Source organism: Homo sapiens, chromosome 2 (assembly GCF_000001405.40).
Source record: "Homo sapiens chromosome 2, GRCh38.p14 Primary Assembly".
Taxonomy (NCBI): domain Eukaryota; kingdom Metazoa; phylum Chordata; class Mammalia; order Primates; family Hominidae; genus Homo; species Homo sapiens.
The window spans coordinates 223,779,272-223,803,573 of record NC_000002.12 but is presented as its reverse complement, the minus strand read 5'-3'; the positions used below and the strand labels follow the sequence as shown (position 1 = coordinate 223,803,573).

The following is a 24,302-nucleotide window of genomic DNA, read 5'->3' as shown; positions in this document are numbered from 1 at the left end:
TTCTAAACTCAGGTGTACAATTTTCATCACAAAGGCATTACATGACCAGCCATCCTGGGACTTTTAAGAACAATTTTCGTTGAGTACATCACCTTTACCACCATCCTAAGTGCCATGCTGTTAGGAAAAAACCAATGAGTTGTTGCAAGAAGCAAAAAGCAATTACATATGGAATTTTGAGCAGTAACATTTAGTAACACTAAAATTGTGCCATGAAATTGATAGCATTTTGCATACCATTTTAGCTCCTCTTGACTCATCTTGCATATAAGTTAAAAAATTAATTGGCTGTATTTAAGTTTGAATAAAGCTTTAACTTTCTGAAAGAGTGAATTTATAAGAAAATTTATGACCTGCTTGAATATGGAAGATCTTGGAGCTGGGGTGGATTGCCTTCATGAAGTAGAAGTAATTTACAAGAAGAAAAACAACACTTCTTACTCAGTTGTTGGCAGATATATTTATGTTTGTTTACATCTGATAACATCATAAAAATTTAAACTTGGCTTTCAACAGGGTTCAAGCAGTCATAGGAAAAGGTTGGTCTGTACTATCAACCATACTGAAATTTTCATTGCTAGAAATGTTCAGATTTTAACACAATTAAGTTAATTGTAGTAATGGAAAAACAATCTTACTTTGGTTCTACCATATATTGATTTATGTAGCCCAGGATATAGATTTATTGCAGTTTCACTACAGAAAATGGTTGGTTGTTCAAAAAATATTCCCAGATTATTTAGTTTCCAGAAAGTTACATTTTTTTTGAGAACTGTGAACCATGGGGTAGATCAAAACTCCAGAGAAAATGCCCCTTCCTGAAACCACTGATGAGACTGGTAACAATTTATTTCACACTGTGATCCAACATGTTTCAGAGTAAATGAAAGTGAAGTACACTATTAAGAGTTGGGCTTTGGTGCGTTTGGGATTTGTGCGGTGATTTGTTAAAGTTGTTTAAGAGCTCTTGGCCAGGAGTGGTGGCTCACACCTGTAATCACAGCACTTTGGGAGGCTGAGGTGGCCGGATCACCTGAGGTCAGGAGTTCGAGACCAGCCTGGCCAACATGGTGAAACCCTGCCTCTACTAAAAATACAAAAAAATTAGCTGGGTATGCTGGCAGGTGCCTATAATCCCAGCTACTCGGGAGGTTGAGGCAGGAGAATTGCTTGAACCAGGGAGGTGGATGCTGCAGTGAGCCAAGATCACACCACTGCACTCCAGCCTGGGCAAAACAGTGAGACTCTGTCTCCAAAAAAAAAAAATAAAATAAAACTGGATGCTTTCTTAATAAGGAAGAAAGCCCAGCAGATAGTGACTGTACCTTCCTCCCCTCCTTCCTTACCATCCTCCCATCTCATTTCTCTTAGAAACAGGGATTTCCCTGCCAATACAAGGTCTGTTTAGTTATCTTAAAATCTCAAAGGAAGTAATGGCTCCTCCTCTCAATAACGTTCCAGACCCTCAGTAGAGATATACAAACAATCTTTTCTAAGTTCCTCATCACTCTCTAGGAAGAGATAAGAGCCCACGTTTGATCAAGCTAAACTAGTTAGATGGCCTCAGATATCTTTTGCAAAATGTTGACAGTTCAAAAACTTTACTTAGAGCTTTTTCTACCTATTTTATTGTCACTTCTGTGATAAATGTAATACTAGTGACACAGAATGACTCAGTACTAGTGTCATTATTGTCGTCAGTTGAATTTTTATTTCTTCTTAGTCTCTGTAAGCCTAGGCCTTTTGGCCTCTCTGCTTGTTTTTATGGTGGTCACAGAAACCGTTAGTATTAGATGGGGCAGAGGGAGCTTTAAGTGTTACTCTCTCATGGGCCGGGTGCAGTGGCTCACGCCTGTAATCCCAGCACTTTGGGAGGCCGAGGCGGGCAGACCACTTGGAGTCAGGAGTTCGAGACCAGCCTGGCCAACATGGTGAAACCCCACTCTACTGAAAATACAAAAATTAGCCAGGCTTGTTGGTGGGTGCCTGTAATCCCAGCTACACGGGAGGCTGAGGCACGAGAATTGCTTGATCCCAGCAGGTGGAGATTGCAGCGCCACTGCACTCCAGCCTGGACAATAGAGTGAGGCACTGTCTCAAAAAAAGAAAAAAGAGAGCTACCTTCTCATTATATGGGTGGTTCAATATCATAGTGACTTTAAAAGTGGGCAAGGCCAGTCTAACTGGTGCCAGCGTATATCTCTTTGCTTTCTGCTCAAGGAGGCAATGTTGCATTGCTGTTAAGAGAATGGGCTCTGGAATCAAAGCCCAGCTCTGAAACCTTCTAGCTCGTCGATCTGGAACAAGGTACTTAACTTTTTTAAGCCCTAGAGTCCTTATCAAGTGGGAATAATAATAGTATCTACTTCTCATGGTTATGAGGAAGATTAAATGAAGTACTGTGTGTAATGTGCTTCTTCCATGGTGTCTGACGCATGCCCTACATATGTCAACCATCGACTGTTATACATAGGTCTCTGGTATTAGCAAAAGACTTCTCTGGTTATAATTATTTGCATAACTGGAAAAAATGAACAGTAGGGGTTTTAGCTTTGGTGGATGAGAAAAAGTGTCAGATGCTAAGTGCAAATAGCCTTGGGCTGGGAATGTGGAGATCATCTTAATTCTGCCTCAAACTGTACCACTGAAGGTATAATCACCAGGTCTCTGGGCCTTGATTTCTTCAGTTTTCTTTCTTCCCTATTTGTATACTTTTATTTCCCTTTCTTGTCCTATTGCATTAGCTAGGACTAGTATGATATTGAAAAGCAGTAATGAGAGAGTTCATCCCTGCCTTGTTCCTGACCTGAAAGGGAAAGCTTCTAGTATATCATCATTAAGTATAATGTTAATTGTAGTTTTTTGTAAATGTTCTTTATCAAGTTGGGGGCATTCCTCTCTCTTCCTAGTTTGCTAAGAAGTTTTATCATGAATTGATGTTCAGTTTTCTCAAATGCTTTTTCTGTATCTGTTGATATAATCATGTGATTTTTCTTTTTTAGCCTGTTGGTGTGATAAATTATATTAATTGATTTTTTTTTTAAAGAGACAGGGTCTTGCTCTGTCACCAGACTGAAGTGCAGTGGCCTGATCATAGCTCATTGCAGCCTTGAACTCAGGCTTAAGTGACCCTCCCACCTCAGCCTCCTGAGTATGTAGTACTACAAGTGTGCGTCACCATGCCTGGCTATTTATTTATTTTCTGTAAGGATGGGTTCTCGATATGTTGCTCAGGCTGGTCTCAAACTCCTGACCTCAAGTGATCCTTTTGCCTCAGCCTCCTGAAGCTCTGGGATTACAGATATGAGCCATCATACTTGGACTACATTGATTGATTTTTTTTCTTTTTTTTTTTTTTTTAGACGCAATCTCGCTTTGTTGCCCAGGCTGGAGTGCAGTGGTACGATCTCAGCTCACTGCAGCCTCCGCCTCCTGGGTTGAAGCAATTCATTTGTCTCAGCATCCCGAGTAGCTGGGATTAGAGGTGTGTGCCACCATGCCTGGCTAATTTTCGTATTTATAGTAGAGATGGGGTTTTGCCACATTGATCAGGCTGGTCTCGAACTCCTGACCTCAAGTGATCCGCCCTCCTTGCCCCACTTCGGGAAGTGCTGGGATTACAGGTGTGAGCCACCACACCTGGCCATACATTAATTGATTTTTGAATGCTGATCTGGCTTTGCATTCTGGGATAAATCCCACTTGCTTGTAGTGTGTAATTCTATTTATATATTATTGGATTTGAATTGCTAATATTTTGTTGAAGATTTTTTTCACCTAGGTTCATGAGAAGATTTCTTCAGTTTTAGGATGAGAAGTGTTGTACCTAATCAGCTTTATTGTCCTTTCTAATGCTAGAATTTTGTGAGTCTAGGAATGAGTTATTATTTCATTTTAAATACCTCACTGTGGTAGCTACTAAATAAATATTTGCTAAGTTGAATGGAATCTGCTGACTTTATCTTTGGAATGTAGATGATCTGGTTTTATAATATGGAATTGTAATGAGATAGAAAACAACAGTGATGATTTTTGAGATTAAAAATAAAAGGCATAAAATTCAAAGCCAGAGATATATGGTGGATTGCTTTGCTAAGCTGCCATAAGGAAGTACCATGAGCTGGGTGGCCTAAACACTGACATTTATCATCTCATAGTTCTGGAGGCTAGAAGCCTGGCAAGAATGGTTTCTTCTAGGAACTCTCAAGAGAGAATGGGTTGCTTGCCTTTCTCCTGGCTTGCGGTGGTTTAAGGGCAGTCTTTGGTGCACCTTTGCTTCAGTTGCATTACCCCAATCTCTGCCTTCACCTTCATGTGGTGTTTGTGTGTGTGTGTGTGTGTGTGTGTGTGTGTGTGTGTGTGTGTCTAGGCCCGAATTTCCCTTTTATATGAGTCCACCAGTGACAATGAACTAGGGGCCCACCCTACTCTAGTATGACCTCATCTTAACAAGTTACATCTGCAATGTCTATTTCTTATCTCCCTCTCTCTCTTTTTATTTTGAAATGGAGTTTCACTCTTGTTGCCCAGGCTGGAGTGCAGTGGCGCAATCTCGCTCCATGCAACCTCCGCCTCCTGGGTTCAAGTGATTCTCCTGTCTCAGCCTCCTGAGTAGGTGAGATTACAGGTACCAGCTACCACACCCAGCTAATTTTTGTATTTTTAGTAGAGATGGGGCTGCACCACGTTGGCCAGGCTGGTCTCAAACTCCGGACCTCAGGTGATCTGCCCACCTTGGCCTCCCAAAGTGCTAGGATTATAGGCATGAGCCACTGCACCCAGCTGCAACATCTATGTCCAAATAAAGTTGAATTCTGAAGTACTGGGGGGTTAGGACTGTAACATATGAATTTAGGGGACACAATTCAATTCATAGCAAGTGGATTATTCTGTCCTTTCAGTGTAACTACCTGTCTATCCTTCCTTCCTTCTTTTCTTCCATTAAATTTTACTGTGCCATACAGGTGGATGGATAACAGACAGACAATTTTATGAGGAATTGTCTTTATAGAGAGAATGTTCACATTTCACGTAAGTGGCTACTTAATAATTCATAGCAGTTAACCTTTTATTCTGCAGGTTACTTGTAGCTGGCATGGACTTAATACATGTCAACAGTTTGTTTCTGTGTTATTCCATTTTTTTCCCCTTATTGTTGTTCCTCTTATCCTGTTCTTCCTAGCTCTGTTCTGCCCCCTCAGATCCACTTAATTTGCCTTTCCCTGAACATTTCACAGTAGCTAGTTCTGCCACCAGATGGTGTGCAAGGATTAGGAAAATAATTGAAATATGTTGGCCAGTGTCTTTTCAACATTTTATTTCAGGAAAAAGGCTGACATGACAGGCCTACCTGAGATTCTGAGATTGACAGCAGGCCAAAAATGACATTCTGAGATTGTGGAGATTTAAATTTTTTATGTAAATTTTCCTCTCATTTATCATGGAAACCTGAGCTGGCAATCTTGAGGGGAAAAAAAACCTATGACATTTGATGTATATATGTAAATGAGAGACTTTGACCTCAGAATAGATTTGACAGTAATATTCGGCTGAGATATAGAAGCGAGGTTCTTGGGTCAGAGGACCACTTCCTCAAATAGGTAGTCTCAGAAGCCACAGAAAGGAGAAATCTCTTGAGCCAAGCAAAGCTGTAGAGTGTTAGTGCGATGAGGGACTCCAGCTATCATCTGATTCAGCAGCCTCAAATGAGGCCTGCAGCCAAACAGAGCTTGCAGACCACATCCACACACAGTGTGCTTTGTTTAGCTTGAACAAGGTTTTATTTTATTTTATTTTATTTATTTTTTTGAGACGGAGTTTTGCTCTTTGGCCCAGGCTGGAGTGAAGAGGTACGATCTCAGCTCACTGCAACCCCTGCCCCCCGGGTTCAAGTGATTCTTCTGCCTCAGCCTCCCAGGTAGTTGAGATTGTAGGCACCTGCCTATAACCATGGCCGGCTAATTTTTGTATTTTTAGTAGAAACGGGGTTGTGCCATGTTGGCCAGGCTGGTCTCGAACTCCTGATCTCAGGTGACCCACCTGCCTCAGCCTCCCAAAGTGCTGGGATTACAGGCGTGAGCTGTGTCAGCCTGAACAAGGTTTTATTATTATTAATTGACAACGTTAAGACAACTCCAATATTTCACCTAATCATCCAGATTTCAGGCTTTTGGGAAAAAAATCTGAAGACTTAGCAACAGTGATTGACATGTTTTTCTTGGCCACACTTGACTATGGCAGAGCTGTGGCTGCGGCTTTCGTTGGAGCTTGTGATTCATAGTTGCTGCTCTCTCCTCCACCCCCTATTGTATGATGCTGATCTTTACCCTTATTTAATATGTTACCTGCCTCTGCCAAGCCTGTGAAAGGCATTTGGATATGAAGACATGAGGTCTGGAGAGAGAGACGAGGGAAGTTGGTTCAGGCCACACCTGCCTTCCGATCCCCACTAACTGGTGCTATGACTGTGCGTAGAAACTGGTGGGAAAAGAGTGAAAGTGATTCACCTTAGAGGAGTAATGCAGTACAATTAAGGAATCAGCAGGGAAGGTGAAAACTCAAAATTCAAAATTCTGCTGCTGCCACTCAATGATAGAAAAAGTCGTTAGAGGGCCAGGCGCCGTGGCTCATGCCTGTAATCCCAGCACTTTGGGAGGCCGAGGTCGGTGGATCACCTGAGGTCAGGAGTTCAAGATCAGCCTGGCCAACGTGGTGAAGCCCAGTTTCTACTAAAACTACAAAAATTAGCTGGGCGCAGTGGCGGGCACCTGTAATCCCAGCTGCTTGGGAGGCTGAGGCGGGAGAATCGCTTGAACCTAGGACGTGGAGGATGCAGTGAGCTGAGATTGCGCCACTGCACTCTAGCCTAGGTGACAAGAATGAAACTCCATCTCGAGAAAAGAAAAAGGATGCTAGAAGAATACACACCCATAAGTGAAAAAATGGGGAACCCTGAAGTAAACACCTTACAGGGAACTTGAATAAATACATGATCAGAAGACCATTGGTCAGTGGTCAAGAGAAAAAGAAAGGAACTCCAGATTACTCATCTCTAAGTATATCCCTGCTGTTTCTGGGATAAACTTATTATTTAAATAATAATAATGGAAAGGTGACTGATGAGACCAGGCGATTAAGGAGACAAGGTAAGTAAGTCAGCTAGACAGCAAATAGTTTGTTGTTTCCCAAGAATGTCCTTCTGGGGTACCTGTGAAATGGCTGTCAGAGGCTCTTCCCATCAGAACATGGAAACTGTTAGTGAAATAAATAATGGGGTAGTAATGGGATGATTCTGAATGGGGAAGCAGAGATTGTTTTTGCCTGCCTTGATGAAGATAAATGGGAGTATAAATGTGAGGGGCTGGCCCCTGGATAATTTATTTTATATTAATTAATTTTTTTGAGATGGAGTCTCTCTGTGTTGCCCAGGCTGGAGTGCAATGATGCGATCTTGGCTCACTGCATCCTCCACCTCCTGGGTTCAAGCGATTCTCCTGCCTCAGCCTCCCGAGTAGCTGGGATTACAGATGCCTGCCACCGCGTCTGGCTAATTTTTGTATTTTTAGTAGAGAAGGGCTTTCGCCATGTTGGCCAGGCTGATCTCGATCTCTTGACCTCAGGTGATCTGCCCACCTCGGCCACCCAAAGTGCTGGGATTACAGGCGTGAGCCACCGTGACTGGCCTGGGTAATTTATTAATGATTACAGACATTTACTGAATGCTCATTCTTTGCTGGACTCTACACTATAGAGGTTGACATATGTAATATCATTTTGTTCTCCCAGCATCACTGAGGTCCTTATCATTGTTTTTCCTATTTTGTTGATAAGGAGACTACAAAGATCAGGTAACTTTTTCACATCGACTTAGCTCATAAATGACAGAGCCGGGATTTAAATACAAGCTCTCAAGCTACTGATTACCAAAGTTTTCCCACTTAACAATCAAGCTATTCCACTGCCTCCTGGCGCCTCCTGGCCCCTTCTGCCTGGCCTAGTGATAAATGCCCAGCAGGCCCTGGATGAAATCCGGAACAGTGATTGAGTTACACCATTTTGGCTGGATGGCATGCAGCAAGCTTGAAAAAGCTAACATTTAAATTTGTGGAATGTAACATTTGTTTCAAAGGGTCGCTAAATTAGAAGACTGGCAGATGTCAGTGAATCTTCATCCTAAGAACATGTGTAAAAAGTGTCTGGGAAACTTCCGTCTGGCAAATCTTATTTCTACCCAGAGCATGCTGGTAAAATCTATACTAAGGATACATTACAAAAGGCTTCAGCAGATGGCCTTTATAAATTTTTAAAATTTTTTTTTAATTTTTGAGATGGAGTTTCTCTCTTGTTGCCCAGGCTGGAGTGCAGTGCCTCAATCTCGGCTCATCGCAACCTCTACCTCCTGGGTTCAAGCAATTCTCCTGCCTCAGCCTCCTGAGTAGCTGGGATTACAGGCATGTGCCACCACGCCCGGCTAATTTTGTATTTGTAGTAGAGATGGGGTTTCTCCATATTGGTCAGCCTGGTCTCCAACTCCTGACCTCAGGTTATCCGCCCACCTTGGAAGTGTTGGGATTATGGGCGTGAGCCACTGCGCCTGGCCTGCAGATGGCCTTTTTAGGGAGAAGGCAGCTTGGCTTCTGGAAGAGGGAACTGGATTTGGCTGGAGTCCTTTGAGAAGGTGAATATGCCATGCTGCTGAAGAAACAGTGAACGTCCCTCCTTTCCACTTTTCAGAAAGCCCCTCGGATGGGGGTTCAGACGCAAGGGAGAGGGGTTGAGAGGGAGTAGCCTTGGAAAGATAGTCTTGTGGCTTTCAGATGCGCTTAGAGGAAGGACGTCAGGATAATTGTTTTAAGGGCTCATCCTGACATTCAAAGGTAAACCATGGAGCCCTGGAGGAATGAGTGCTCCGACAAGTCGTGTGTAACATTTTTATAATTGATCTAGCAGAAAGAAGAGGGCAGCTGGGTCTCTCGGTTTGCAGATGCTATTAGATACTTCTTACCAGAGAACTGTTAAACCTGTCAGGATAAGCTGCCAGAAGATGTGGCAAATACAAGTGCTAGTTGAGTTTATTGTATCTGGAGAAAAGTAACACAAGTTGTAAGTTTCTGATACCCAATAAAACCCTGGGCTTTTTAAAGGAAGGCTTTCTCAAGAAAACCATAGGAGGGTCTGACTCCTGGATAATTTATTTTGTTTTATATTTTATTGTTTTTTTTGACACAGAGTCTCTCTGTGTCGCCCAGACTGGAGTGCAGTGGCGCAATAGTGTTAGTGTTATAGGGGTTAGTTATAGGCGTTAGTGTTCTCTAACCCCTATAGAAAAGCCAAAGCAATTCTCCACCCAGAATATTAATAGAGGGCTAGTTGCTATTTCTCAAAATTTAACAGTTCCACCAATATGTGAGTCCCCATTCTGAGCAAGAAATGGAGTTAGACATGATTCAGGAAGAAAAATGCAAAATGATAAGGGAATTAAGAAACCTATTGTAGGAAAAAAAACCCAAGAGGTGAAACCTCTTTAATCCAAAGGTGATAGCTGAGGAGCATATGTAGTAACTTACTAAAACACAAAGGATAAACACAGAATCAGCAAAAACTATCAATCCTTTCTCTTTAAAAATTGTAGGCTGGGCACAGTGGCTCACACCTGTAATCCCAGCACTTTGGGAGGCCAAGGCAGGAGGATCACCTGAGGTCAGGAGTTCGAGACGAGCCTGGCCAGCATGGTGAACCGTCTCAAAACAAAAACAAACAAAAAAAAAACGTATTAGGTGGTGGTGGGAAAAGGGGAGATGTTGGTCAAAGGGTACGAAGTTTTAGATTGAATAGGTTCTGGGGATTTAATAGACATCTTGGTGACTATATTAATAATAATGTATTATATACTTGAGCATGCTGCACAGATCATCCCATCACCTAGGTATTAAGCCCAGCATCCCTTAGCTATTCTTCCTGATGCTCTTCCTCCTTAGCTATTCTTCCTGATGCTCTCCCTCCTCCTACCCTCCACTCCCCACTGTTCCCCCCAATGTGTCCATGTGTTCTCATCATTCAGCTCCCACTTCTAAGTGAGAACATGCAGTACTTGGTTTTTTGTTTCTGCGTTCGTTTGCTGAGGATAATGGCTTCCAGCTCCATCTATGTCCCTGCAAAGGACATAATCTCATTCCTTTTTATGGCTGCATAGTATTCCATGTTGTGTATGTACCACATCTTCTTAGTGCAGTCTATCATTGATAGGCATTTAGGTTGATTCCATGTCTTTGCTATTGTGAATGGTGCTGCAATGAATGTACACAGGCATGTGTCTTTATAATAGAATGATTTATATTCCTTTGGGTATATACCCAGTAATGGAGTTGCTCAGTCAATTGGCGTTTCTGCCTGTAGGTCTTTGAGGGATTGCGACACTGTCTTCCACAATGTTTGAACTAATTTACACTTCCACCAACAGTGTAAAAGCGTTCCTTTTTCTTCACAACCTCATCAGCATCTGTTGGTTTTTTACTTTTAATAATGGCCATTCTGACTGGTGTGAGATGGTATCTTCTTGTGGTTTTGATTTGCTTTTCTCTAATGATTAGTGATGCTGAGCTTTTTTTTCATGTTTGTTGGCTACATGTATGTCTTCTTTTGACAAGTATCTGTTCTTGTCCTTTGCCTACTTTAATGGGTTTGTTTGTTTGTTTGTTTTCTTGTAAATTTGTTTAAGTTCCTTGTAGATGCTGGATATTAGACCTTTGTCAGATGACTAGATTGCAGAAATTTTCTCTCATTCTGTAGGATGTCTGTCTACTCTGATGACAGTTTCGTTTGCTCTGCAGAAACTTTAGTTTAAGTAGATCCCATTTGTCAATTTTTGCTTTTATTGCAATTGCTTTTGGCATTTTTGTCATGAAATCTGCTCGTGACTATGTCCTGAATGGTATTGCCTAGCTTTTCTTCTATGGTTTCTATAGTTTTGGTTTTACATTTAAGTATTTAATCCATCTTGAGTTGATTTTTTATATGGTATAAGGAAGGAGCCCAGTTTCAATCTTCTGCGTGTGGCTAGTCAGTTCTCCCAGCACCATTTATTAAATAGGGAATCCTTTTAATAAATGATTATTTTTATTTATTTAATAAAATAAGCAAAAAATTGCTTATTTTTGTCAGGTTTGTTGAAGATCAGATGGTTGTAGGTGTGAGGTCTTATTTCTGAGTTTTCTATTCTGTTCCATGGTCAACGTGTCTGTTCTTGTACCAGTACCATGCTGTTTTGGTTATTATAGCCTTGTAGCATAGTTTGAAGCAGTATAGTAGCCTCAAAGTAGTAGCCTTGTAGTATAGTTTGGGTAGCATAATGCCTCCAGCATTGTTCTTTTTGCTTAGGATTGTCTTGGCTATTCAGGCTCTTTTCTGGTTCCATATGAATTTTAAAATAGTTTTTTCTAATTCTGTGAATAATGTCAATGGTAGTTTAATGGGAATGGCATTGAATCTGTACATTGCTTTGTGCAATATGGTCATTTTCAGATATTGATTCTTTCTGTCCATGAGAATGGAATGTTTTTCCATTTGTTTGTGTCATCTCTGATTTCTTTGAGCAGTGGTTTTTGTTAGCTGTATTCCTAGGTATTTTATTCCTTTTGTGGCAATTGTGAATGGGAATTTGTTCATGATTTGGCCCTTGGCTTGCCTGTTGTTCACCAACAACAGGCTAGTGATTTTTGCACATTCATTTTGTATCCTGAGACTTTGCTGAAGTTGCTTATTAGCTTAATATGCTTTTGGGCTGAGATGATAAGATTTTCTAGATATAGGATCATGTCATTTGCAAACAAAGATAGTTTGACTTCCTCTCTTCCTATCTGAATACTTTTATTTCTTTCTCTTGCTTGATTGCCCTGGCCAGAACTTCCAATACTATGTGGAATAAGAGTAGTGAAAGAGGGCATCCTTATCTTGTGCTGGTTTTCAAGAGGAATGCTTCCAGCTTTTGCCCATTCAGCATGATATTGGCTGTGGTTTTGTCACAAATGGCCTTATTATTTTGAGCTATGTTCCTTCAATATCTAGTTTATTGAGAGTTTTTAACATGAAGGGATGTTGAATTTTATCAAAGGGCTTTTCTGCATCTATTGAGATAATCATGTGGTTTTTGTCTTCATTTCTGTTTATGTGATGAATCACATTTATTGATCTGTGTATGTTGAACCAACCTTGCATCCTGGGGATGAAGCCAACTTGATCATGGTGGATAAGCTTTTTGATGTGCTGCTGGATTTGGTTCACCAGTATTTTGTTAAGGATTTTTGCATCGATGTTCATCGAGGATATTGTCCTGATGTGTTTTTGTTGTTGTTGTTGTTGTGTCTCTGCCAGGTTTTGGTATCAGGATGATGCTGGCCTCATGAATGAGTTAGGGAGAAGTCCCTCCTTTTCAATGTTTTGGAATATTTTCAGTAGGAATGGTCCCAGCTCTTCTTTGTACCTCTGGTAGAATTCAGCTGTGAATCCATCTGATCCTGGGCTTTTCTTGGTTGGTAGGTTGTTTGTTACTGTCTCAACTTCACAACAAGTTATTGGTCTATTGGTCTATTCAGGGATCCAATTTCTTTCTTGTTCAGTCTTGGGAGGGTGTATGTGTCCAGGAATTTATCCATCTCTTCTAGATTTTCTAGTTTATGTGCATAGAGGTGTTTTTGTATTCTCTGATGGTTAGTTGTATTTCTGTGGGGTCAGTGATGATATCCCTCTTATCATTTCTGGTTGTGATTATTTGAATCTTGAAAGTAGATCTTAAATGTTGTCACAACACACACACACAGATTTTTAACTATGTGAGGTGATGGATATGCTAATTAGCTTGATTGTGGTAATCACTTTATAACATATGTGTGTAAAAATCACATTTTATACCATAAATATATACTATCTTTCAGGACATATATTAAAGTGTATTACTCTACCTACAGGCCAGTAGACTAATGACATCCTTATTCTATGAACCTGTACAGGTTGAAAAAAAACTACATTAGGTAAAATCAAACGATTACTGGGCGCAGTGGCTCACGCCTGTAATCTCAGCACTTTGGGAGGCCGAGGCACGTGAATCACTGAGGTCAGGAGTTTGAGACCAGCCTGGCTAACATGGCGAAACCCCATCTCTGCTAAAAATACAAAAAAAATTAGCCAGGCATGGTGACAGGTGCCTGTAATCCCAGCTACTCAGGAGGCTGAGGTAGGAGAATTGCTTGAACCCAGGAAACAAAGGTTGCAGTGAGCTGAGATCATGCCACTGCACTCCAGCCTGGGCAACAGAGCAAGACTCTTTCTCAAAAAAAAAAAAAAAAGACTGGAGGCAATTTCTTTTCTTTGTATTTTTAGTCTTTGCATGTGTCAAAATGTCATGTCTCTTGATGGATAATTTGGCTGGATGTAGACATCTTGTCTTTCATCATCTGCAGGTTCTGGTTTCTGATCCATTGCATGTAAACTGTCTTCCTGGAATCTCAGGCTGCTCTCTTTGTCCTGGTTGTTCTGAAGTTTCGTGTTGATGGGCTTCTAAAATTCATTGTGCTGCACACTTGATGGGCTTTTCAAAATCTGAAGTCTCATCTACTTAGTTCTTGAAAAAATTTCGAATTCTTTCTTTGATATTTTCTTCCTCTCCATTATCTCTGCTTCATCTTTCTTGATATCATTACACCTTCTTGTTTGATTGCATTTGATTGCCTTTTTTTTTTTTTTTGATAGAGTCTTGTACTATCACCGAGGCTGGAGTGGAGTGGCATGATCTCGGCTCACGGCAACCTCTGCCTCCCGGGCTTAAGCGATCCTCCTACCTCAGCCTCCTGAGTAGCTGGGACCATAGGCATGTGCCACCACGCCTGGCTTTTTTTTTTTTTTTTTGAGACAGGGTTTTGTCATGTTGACCCAGGCTGGCCTTGAACTCCTGGTCTTGAGTGATCCACCCACCTTGGCCTCCCAAAGTGCCAGGATTGTAGGCATGAGTCACCACACCCAGCACTCCCTCTATAGTTTTATATTTTCCATTAATTTTCCATCTATTAAAAATTATTTTTGAAGGATGGGATCTTGCTATAAGGCTGGCCTTGAACTCCTGGGCTCAAGTGATCCTCCTGCTTCAGCCTCTGGAGTAGCTGGGACTACAAGCATTCCACTGCGCCCAGCTTACATCTATTTTTTTGGGGGGGGTCCAGTTTATTGGAGATTCCTTTGATTTTATTTTGGTTATCATAGTTTTTAACTTTTAAGAACTTTTTCTTATCTCTTTTTTAAAAAGGAAACTCTGTTATTTGTTTTATTGACATAGGAACTTCATCTTTTAACCATCTCTGAGTATACTCTGTGTGTGTGTATGTGTGTATGTGTGTGTAGCAATTTGTTCAGCTCTGTGATTTGTTACTGTATCCAGTGTTTTTTTTTTCCTATTTGTTCTTTTCTGTCTCTTTCTTGGCACAGGCTATTTTCAAATGCCTGGGACTCTTGTCCTCTACTCATAGTTAGAAGCAGGGTGCTTAAAATGCTGACAGGCAGTTCTGAGGGCATAGACAGGTTGACTGGAGGCTTCATTGTTAGTACCTAAAGGTCTTTTCTCTGTCATTTAGTGTCTTCAGGGAAGAATCATTCAGTCTCTTGAATTAAGAGATGGGTTTTTCTGTATGACAAAGCTAGAGATGGAAGTTCAGAAACCTTACATACATAGCTTTTCAGGCTCTGAATTAGGTTTAGGATCCAGGAGGGTGGCAGGCATCTGCAAATATCTCTTCTTCTTCTTCTTCTTTTTTTTTTTTTTTTTTTAGACAGAGTCTTGCTCTGTCACCCAGGCTGGAGTGCAGTGGCACAATCTTGGCTCACTGCAACCTCTGCCTCCCAGGTTCAAGCAGTTCTCCTGCCTCAGCCTCCCAAGTAGCTGGGATTACAGGCATGTGCCACCACGCCCAGCTAATTTTTTTTTTTTTTTTTGTATTTTTAGTAGAGACAGGGTTTCACCATGTTAGCCAGGATGGTCTCGATCTCCTGAACTTGTGATCCACCCACCTCAGCCTCCCAAAGTGCTGGGATTACAGGCGTGAGCCACCGCGCCCAGCCCCAGCTAATTTTTGTAGTTTTAGTAGAGTCAGGGTGTCACCATGTTGGCCAGACTGGTCTTGAATTCCTGACCTCAGGTGATGTGCCCGCCTCGGTCTCCCAGAGTGCTGGGATTACAGGCGTGAGCCACCACGCCCGGCCAAATATCTCTTCTTAAGGGCGAAAATGATGTAAGTCCTCTGAGTGGTGATGTAAGCCTTAAGTATATAAGAACTGTGGCAGTCCAGCCTGGCGCAGTGGCTCATGCCTGTAATCCCAGCACTTTGGGAAGCCCAGGTGGGTGGATCACTTGAGGTCAGGAGTTTGGGACCAGCCTGGCCAACATGGTGAAACTCTATCTCTACTAAAAATACAAAAATGAGCCAGGCATGGTGGCACATGTCTATAATCCCAGCTACTCAGGAGGCTGAGGCACAGCATGAGGATCACTTGAACCTGGGCGAGCCGAGATCACACCACTGCGCTCCAGCCTGGATGACAGAGTGAGACCCCATCCCAAAAAAAAGAACTGTGGCATTTACATTGGAGCTTCTCAGATTAGGTAATACCCTGCTTTGTGTGGACAGTGTCAGCAGCCCCTGCTTGGGAGGTTACTGACTCTGGGGGCCGGAGCAAGCTGTGCTAAGAGGTTCTCCAACTGCATGGAGTTCCTAAATTTCTGTACCCTTGGATGAAGCAATTGGAAACTTATCGTATGGTGTAGTTTGTGTGTGTGTGTGTGTTGCATATGCATGTGCGTTTTCACTTAGCTGTAGTCTCTAGAAATCTGCATGTGGCACATGTCAGTTACTCGATAGGGAGACTTTCAACCACTCTCCCTGCTTTCAGAACTCTGCCTTATCCCTTGTCTTCTAGGGACATGGTGCCCCCAAGTATTGCTCTCAGGCATTCTATGGGGAGACCTATCTGGTTTCTCTTGGGAATTCACCCTTTCAGTGACAAATTCCCCTATTTTGCTAAATCTTTCATCTCATTTCTGTCTCTGTCTTCCAAAGTTTGTTTGAAGATTTCTGTCAACCTTCTTAACTCAAGAACACCTTTCTCTCTTAAATGAAGACATATGGCTTTGCACACTCTGAAGGGTTGAGACCCAGGAGTGTTGCAGATGTCTATAAATATTTCTTCTTGTATTCATCCATTCTTGCATTGCTGTAAAGAAATACCCGAGACTGGGTAATTTATAAAGAAAACAGGTTTAATTGGCCCATGGTTCTGAAGGCTGTATAGAAAGCATAGTGGCTTCTGCTTCTGGGGAGGCCTCAGGAAACTTACAATCATGGTTGAAGGCGAAGGGGAAGCAGTACCTCACATGGCTGAAGCAGGAAGAAGAGAGAGGGGGCAGCTGCCACACAGTTTTAAACAACCAGATCTCACAATAACTCACTCACTGACTCTCATGAGAACAGCATCAAGGAGATGGCGCTAACTCATTCATGAGAACTCCAGACCCTGATGATCCAGTCACCTCCTACTAGGCCCCATCTCCAACACTGGGGATTACAATTTGACACGAGTTTAGTGGGGACACAGATCCAAACCATATCACTTCTTTTTTTTTTGTTTTTTTGAGACAGGGTCTCACTTTGTCACCCAGGCTGGAGGGCAGTGGCATGATCTCAGCTCACTGCAGCCTCCACCTCCTGGGTTCAAGTGATCCTCCTGCCTTAGTCCCCCAAGTAGTTGGGACTGCAATTGTGTGCCACCATGCCTGGCTAATTTTTGTATCTTTTTTAGAGATTATGGGGTTTCACCATGTTGCCCAGACTGGTTTTGAACTCTTGAGCTCAAGCGATCTGCTCACCTTGGCCTCCCAAAGTGTGAGCCACCACACCTGACCTTCTCCTTCTTCTTTTTTTTTTAATTTAATAACTTTTTTTTTGTAGAGACACACGGTCTCACTATGTTGCCCAGGCTAGTCTTGAATTCCTGGCCTCAAGCAATCTTCCTGTCTCAGCTTCCCAAAGTGCTGGGGTTACATGCAGGAGTCACCATCCCTGGATTGTTTTATTATGTTGATTACGATCTACTAAGTTTGTTTTATAACCCACTGGATCGCACCTGCTGTAAAAACAATGCTCTAGTTAATGTGAATGAAACCTAAACTGTAGGTTCGCACTTTCTTGCCCTTTCACTTTCTTCAGTTTATTGCCAGAATGAAATGACATTGCTTTGAAATTAAAGAAAAATAGTTATTAGGGCTCCTCCATCTTAACAAGGCAACGATGATCATTTTGTAATGATCCTTACCTATGATTGTTTTCGCTATGCATATGTAATTGTCATCTTAGTTGTGTAGCTAGGAGATACTTCGGTTACACAGTTCTTACATTTCTTAAGACTTAATTTTTTTAGAGCAGTGTTAAGTTCACAACAAAATTGAGTGGAAGGTATGAGATCTCTCATATACCTCCTGCCCCAACACATGTAGAGTCTCTCCCATTATCAACGTCCCCTACCAGAGTAGTACACCTGCTGCAACTGATGAGCCTATACTGACTCCTCTCTGTAATTAATTTATTTTTTGTTTTGTAATTTCAACTATATTTTAGATTCAGGGAGTACAGGTGTGAGTTTGTTACATGTAGAATTCATTGTTGGTGTTGGACATTCTATCAGTTTGGACAAATTTATAATGACACGGATCCACCATTATAGTATCATACTGACTATTTGCACTCCCCTAAAATCCTCTGTCCTCCACCTATTCATCCCTCCCCAACACACTGCCACAGCCACTGGCAGCCACACAGTCTGCCATTCTTTTTGCCATTACTGCAGGGTCACCTGAGTAATGTGCCATCTCTTTGAGCTAAAGTTTTATTTGTTGAAAGAACTTTGGCATTTACTTAGTATTAGACCTTCAGATAGAATGTTGATGGATTTTTATTGAACTCACTGATATTCTTTTTATTAAGCATTTTTTTCTAATTATAGAATCATACATATGAATTTTGGAAAATCCAGACAAGTACAAAGAAGAAAATAACATTTATAATTCCACTGTTGTAAGATAACCACTATAACAATTTAGTGTATTTCTTTCATGTAATCTTTTTTTGCAAGAATAGTTTTACATTTTTCTTATACTACACACACAATATAATCTTTTTATTTTTGTTTTTATTTTTTGAGATGGAGTTTCGGTCTTATTGCCCAGGCTGGAGTGCAATGGTGTGATCTTGGCTCACTGCAGCCTCCACCTCCTGGGTTCAAGCAATTCTCCTGTCTCAGCCTCCCGAGTGGCTGGGATTACAGGCGTCCACCACCACGCCCGGCTAATTTTTTGTATTTTTAGTAGAGATGGAGATTTGCCATGTTGGCCAGGCTGATCTTGAACTCCTGACCTCAGGTGATCTGCCCGCCTCGGCCTCCCAAAGTGCTGGCATTACAGGTCTAAGCGCACCTGGCCATCTTTTTTAAACAACATTGTATCATAAGCATTCTTACTTTGTTGAAACTATTTAGTAAATATCATTTAAACTCTATTATTGGATCTTTAGGCATTGTTAGTTTTATTGTTTTTGTATGCTAATATAAAGAACTGTAGTAAACATCTAATGCCTCAATATTTGTCTGCATTTTAGGGCACATTCTTAAGAAATATTTTATTTATTTTTTAATTATTATTATTTTTTGGTAGAGATGCAGTCTCCCTATGTTGCCCAAGCTGGTCTTGAACTCCTGGGCTCAAGTGATCTTCCCACCTCGGACTCACAAAGTGTTGTGATTACAAGCATGAGCCACTATACCTGGTCAAAGACAGATTTTAAAAGCAGAATTACTGAAACCAAAGATATGGGCACTTATAGGACTCTTGACACTTACTGCTGAGTCACTTTTCAGGAGAGTTGGAGGTCTGGGGGTGGGTGGTTGTTTTTTAAAGATGAGAGAGACTTGGGTTATTCAGCATTTGCAGGTGAGGAGCCCCAGAAGAGGGGGCACAGCCTGGTAGTGTGGGAGTGACGATGCCGTGCTCTCAAAGAGGTAGGTGAGGGTTGAAAGCCAGCACATGAGAAGTGTTGTGCTCTCTGATGCAGGAAGAAAATACATCGTGTTGGGGGGTGGGTGTGACAAGTCTGTGCACACAGGTATGCAGGTTGGGAGGAGCCAAGGGAGTCCCCAGCATGGCTTTTATCCTCTCCTCAGAGTCAGGGAGTGAGGATGGAGACTGGGAATATGGGGGCATGGTGGTGATATGAAATGACCCACGTGGGGGATCAAAGGGAAAGGTGCTTGGAAATCCTTTGTATTGAGAGGTACGTGGAGGGTCTCCGAGTACTACTGGAGATTCAGCTGAGCTTGGTCATCAGACCTTAACGGTGGCACCAATTTGCAAAGCCCTCTTTGATTTTTCTCAGGGGTGCCTGGAGACCTTCATATAAAAGCAAAGATGAGAGTGGATGGGTGCTGATCGGGTTTGGGAATTTGCAGAGTGGCTGTAGAGGTGGGAAAAAGGGCTGAGGAAGTAAGGATCAGAGCAGTGGCGTTAAGGGATGGGTCATCATCTGGGCCACCGGAGGAGGGCCTGTCGGGTTGGTTGAACCTGTGTTAGAGCACAGATTGCTGTAAATAAGGTGGTAATAGCCCCTAAACATACTGTAACAGGCTTCAGAACCATGGGCCAATCACAGCCTGAGTATTTGTCTGAGCAGCTCAGGTCCTGAGATACGAGCTAGTCCGGAAAGGCTGGTGTTTGGAATGTGACAATACTGGGGACAGGTAAGGGTCCTGGATGTCTCTCTTCTTGGAAGCTGGCTGTGGGTCCATTTCATGGATCCAGGTCAAGAGCAGGGAGATGTGAACCAAAGCTGCTACTGGAAGCCTTCAGGGTTCCTCTTCACCTAGAAGGAAGATGCGGACACCGGCCAGGGCGCAGACTCAGCAGACTGGTGCTGCTGCGCTTCGTGCTTCCCTCGGAGGACTAACAGTGTCCCCAGAACATGCTTCAGAAAGAGATTAGAAAACGCCCATAGAAGTTTGCGTTCTGAGTCTAAATAAGAATTTGGGACTGTGCCCAATTAGACCAAGGATTGCTCTAGTAGGCACTCTGAGGACAAAGAAAGCTGGAATCACCTGATGTCTTTGGGTTTGAAGGATAATCTGTTAACAAGTGAGACCTCTCAAAATGGCGGCTGGCAGAAGTTGCCCCTTTGGAGGTGGGGATGGAGGTCTTGGTGGAACCAGGTGCCCACCTGGTTCCAAGCATTTGGGCCAAGTGTAAGAAGTCACCACGCCTCCCTGGATGTTACAGCTGTTGCTGAAGTTGGTGTCTCCTGGGAGAGTCCCTCCATTGTTCCTTTTGTCCCAACAATATTATTGAAAGGGAATGCTAGAGTGTTGTTTTCTGAAGTCAGATGAACTTGTTTATGACATCAACTTGCATTTAAGTTGGCTCTTGGCAAATATTGAAAAAGTCTTCCCATGCCTTTTTTTTCCTACTCTCAAGCGAATATTAATCAAAAATGGTATTTTTTATTAACCTTTTGAAGAGTATTATTCAAATGTGCCCTGAATGACTAAACTGATAAATTGTATAAAATTAATTGCTGGAGGTGATGAACTCTTGTGAATCATTACAATTCATTCTGCCAGTTTGTTCCAGCTACCTCATTAAATCTGGAGAGGTGACAGACACGACAACACAAGCTCAGTTCTCAAGCAGAGCAGAACGTGAGGGGGCTAAATCTTCCAACACTGCCTCATGCAATGCAATTATTGGATAAGCTTGAATCTATTTGTTGCTGTTTTTGAGTTTGGAATGCATATTTGCATTTCATATGGGCTTAATGGATGTATTCTTTTCCTGATCATCCTTTCTCCTTGAATTTGTTGTTAGAATGAAACATTGCTCTTTGTTCGTTGTTCTGCATTGTTGATTCTTGTTTAAGAAGGCAGACACCTGATCCTGAGATAAGTTTGACCTGCAGACCAACTAGAAAAGCATCCACTATTAATCCCAGCAATAGTTACACCTCTCAATAAAACTTCCAACGTTGATCTAGGTGCCCTCGATTAAAAGTAACGTTTAGCCTATGGAGAATTCCCAGAGGATACTCAACAATGATGATTATGAGATCTGAAAATAGAACCAATAAACAGAAGACATAAAACTGGGTTTATTTTGTCTGGAAGGAAAAGGCTAAAAGAAGACTTAAAGGCGGCCAGGCACAGTGGCTTACACCTGTAATCCCAGCACTTTGGGAGGCTGAGGTGGGCCAATCACGTGAGGTCAGGAGTTCAAGACCAGCCTGGCCAACATGGTGAAACCCCATCTCTACTAAAAATACAAAAATTAGCTGGGCTTGGTGATGGACGCCTGTAATCCCAGCTACTCCAGGGGGCTGAGGCAGGAGAATCACTTGAGCCTAGGAAGTAGAGGTTGCAGTAAGCCAAGATGGCGCCACTGCCCTCCAGCCTGGGTGGCAGAGTGAGACTCTGTCTAAAAAAAAAAAAAAAAAAAGACTTAAAGCCTATCTCCAAATCAGTGAAGTTAGTTATTCTTCCAAAGATACTTGATACATTCTCTTTTTATATAATCTATGGATAAAATCAGGGAAAACTGGTTTAAATTATAACAAGAGATTTAGGTTAGGTGGAGGAAGAAAAATTTCTAGCAGGAAATGCAAGAGAATACCAGGCAAATGTGTGGACTTCATTTTCCCAGTAAAAATGGAACTGTTCACTAGGCATTGGATTGAATAATCTTACGCACCGTGATGATGCAATGCTGAGCCCTATTCTTTGTGTTCCTATAACCATTCTATTTTATGCTCGTAGAGTGTCAGTCACTTTTATGATCTCTTCTTGGAAGCAAAAATACCCTTCTGAATAGAATTCTCAGAAGGTAGTGTTTGATTATTGAATTTGATTATTATTATTATTATTTATTGTTATTTTAAATAGATATGGGGTCTTGCTATGTTTCCCAGGCTACTCTCAAACTCCTGGGCTCAAGCAATCCTCCTTCCTCAGCCTTCCAAAGTGCCAGGATTACAAGCGTGAGCCACCACACCTGGCCAAGATTATTGAATTGTTTATACCTGTGTTATAGTGAAACAGATACTAAAAAAAAAAATGCTGTGTTAAAATTCCAGACTGAAGGTGATTTTTTTTAAAGCTGCTGATGAGGAGGGTTTTTAAATTGGTTTCTCATCACCTGTGATGTCTTGGGCCTCATATCATTATTATAACGGATGTTTCTTTTCTAAGAAGATTACCTATTCACTATTCACAATAGAAAGTGAATAGAAAGACATGGAATCAACCTCCGTGCCCATCAATGGTGGAATGGATAAAGAAAACATGGTAATATACATATATACCATGGAATACTACACAGCATAAAAAAGAACAAAATCATGTCCTCTGCAGCAACACGGATGCAGCTGGAGGCCGTTATCCTAAGGGAATTAACACAGGAACAGAAAACCAAATATTGCATGTTCTCACAAGCGGGAGCTAAACACTGGATACTTACAAACATAAAGATGGCAGCAATACACACTGGGGACTACTAGATGGGGAAGAAAGGGAGTGGGGCAAGGGCTGAGAAACTAACTTAAGTACTATACTCAGTGCCTGATTGACAGGTTCAGTTGTACCTGAAACCTCAGCATCATGCAATATACCCATGTAAGAAAAGCACACATATACTCCTGAATCTAACACAGAAATTGAAATTATGAAAAAAGTAATTTGTAGTTACCAGAAAAAAAAAAAAGATGAACTATTAAGAACCTCAAGCTGGGCATGGTGGTTCATGCCTGTAATCACAACACTCTGGGAGACGGAGGTGGGAGGATCGCTTGAGCCTAGGAGTTCGAGACCAGTCTGGGCAACATAGGGAGACCTCGTTTCTACAACAAAATTTAAAAAGTATTAGCTGGGCATGGTGGCACACACCTGTAATCCCAGAACTTTGGGAGGCCAAGGTGGGGGGAATCACTTGAGCCTGGGAGGCTGAAGCTGCAGTGAGCTATGATCATGCCACTGCCCTCCAAAAGAAGACCTCATGTTCTGTAGGCTTGAGTTTGAGACCAGTCTGGGCAGCATAGGGAGACCTCGTCTCTACAAAACACACACACACACACACACACACACACACACACACACACTCTCTCTCTCTCTCTCTCTCTCTCTCTCTCTCTCTCTCTCTCTCTCTCTATATATATATATATATATATATATATATATATTAGCCAGGCATGGTGGTGCACACCTGTGGTTCCAGCTACCAGGGAGGCTGAGGTGGGAGGATCGCCTAAGTCTGGGAGGTTGAAGCCGCAGTGAGCCACTGCACTCCAAAAGAAGACCTCAAATTCTGTAGGCTGGGGCCAGGGGGTGGTGGTGAGGCAGCCGGGGGAGGTGGTTAGTGGAAGATCTGAGTAAAAAGCATGGTTTCATTGGACCCTCAGATATCGCCACCTAGTGGGTTGTAATGATTTATGTCGTGGCATTTTAGGCCTCAGCCTTTTCAATAGAGTTGAATCTTTTTGTTTTTTTTTGAGACGGAGTTTCGCTCTTGTTGCCCAGGCTGGAGTGCAGTGGCACAATCTTGGCTCACTGCAACCTCTGCCTCCTGGATTCAAGTGATTCTCCTGCCTCAGCCTCCTGAGTAGCTGGGACTACAAGCATGCACCACCACACGTGGCTAATTTTGTATTTTTATTAGAGACGGGGTTTCTCCATGTTGGTCAGGCTGGTCTTGAACTCCTGACCTCAGGTGATCCACCCACCTCGGCCTCCCAAAGTGCTGGGATTACAGGCGTGAGCCACCACACCTGGCCGAAAGTTGAATCTTTTATCTGTAAAACGTTTTCTTAAAATCTAATAATTTTTTGTTCCTGGTATATATAATTTCCTTCATGACACAACTGAAACAATGCACTTTATTTTTTAAAAACAAAACAAAACTGAACAAAATAAATTATGATTCTAAACCTGATCTTCTGATACCGTGGATTGAGAAAACTTAATTCTCATAAAATAAAGATTAGGCCATCTGACAATTCCCAAAAATTAAATATACCATAACTTCAAGGTTTTTAAAAATTTCTTTTTTAAAAAACATTCTAACAGAGCCTTTAAAAATTTAGAGATGGGGTCTCACTATGTTGCCGAGGCTTGTCTCAAACCCTTGGGCTCAAGTGATTATCCCGCCTTGGCCTCCCAAAGTGCTGGGATTACAGGTGTGAGCCACC

General features: G+C 42.0%; 1 protein-coding gene across 4 annotated transcripts in view, besides 1 other annotated feature; it reads left to right on the top strand.

Moving 5' to 3' along the window:
• AP1S3 (adaptor related protein complex 1 subunit sigma 3) overlaps window positions 1-24,302 on the top strand; it is an 82,257-nt gene that overhangs the window by 34,009 nt on the left and 23,946 nt on the right. The window lies entirely within an intron of this gene.
• Window positions 5,453-5,502: an enhancer, noted in NCBI's record as "active region_17173". NCBI's record gives its function as "activates an Ori minimal core promoter by ATAC-STARR-seq in GM12878 lymphoblastoid cells {active_cell/tissue: GM12878}" and the evidence as "EXISTENCE:reporter gene assay evidence [ECO:0000049][PMID:35858748]".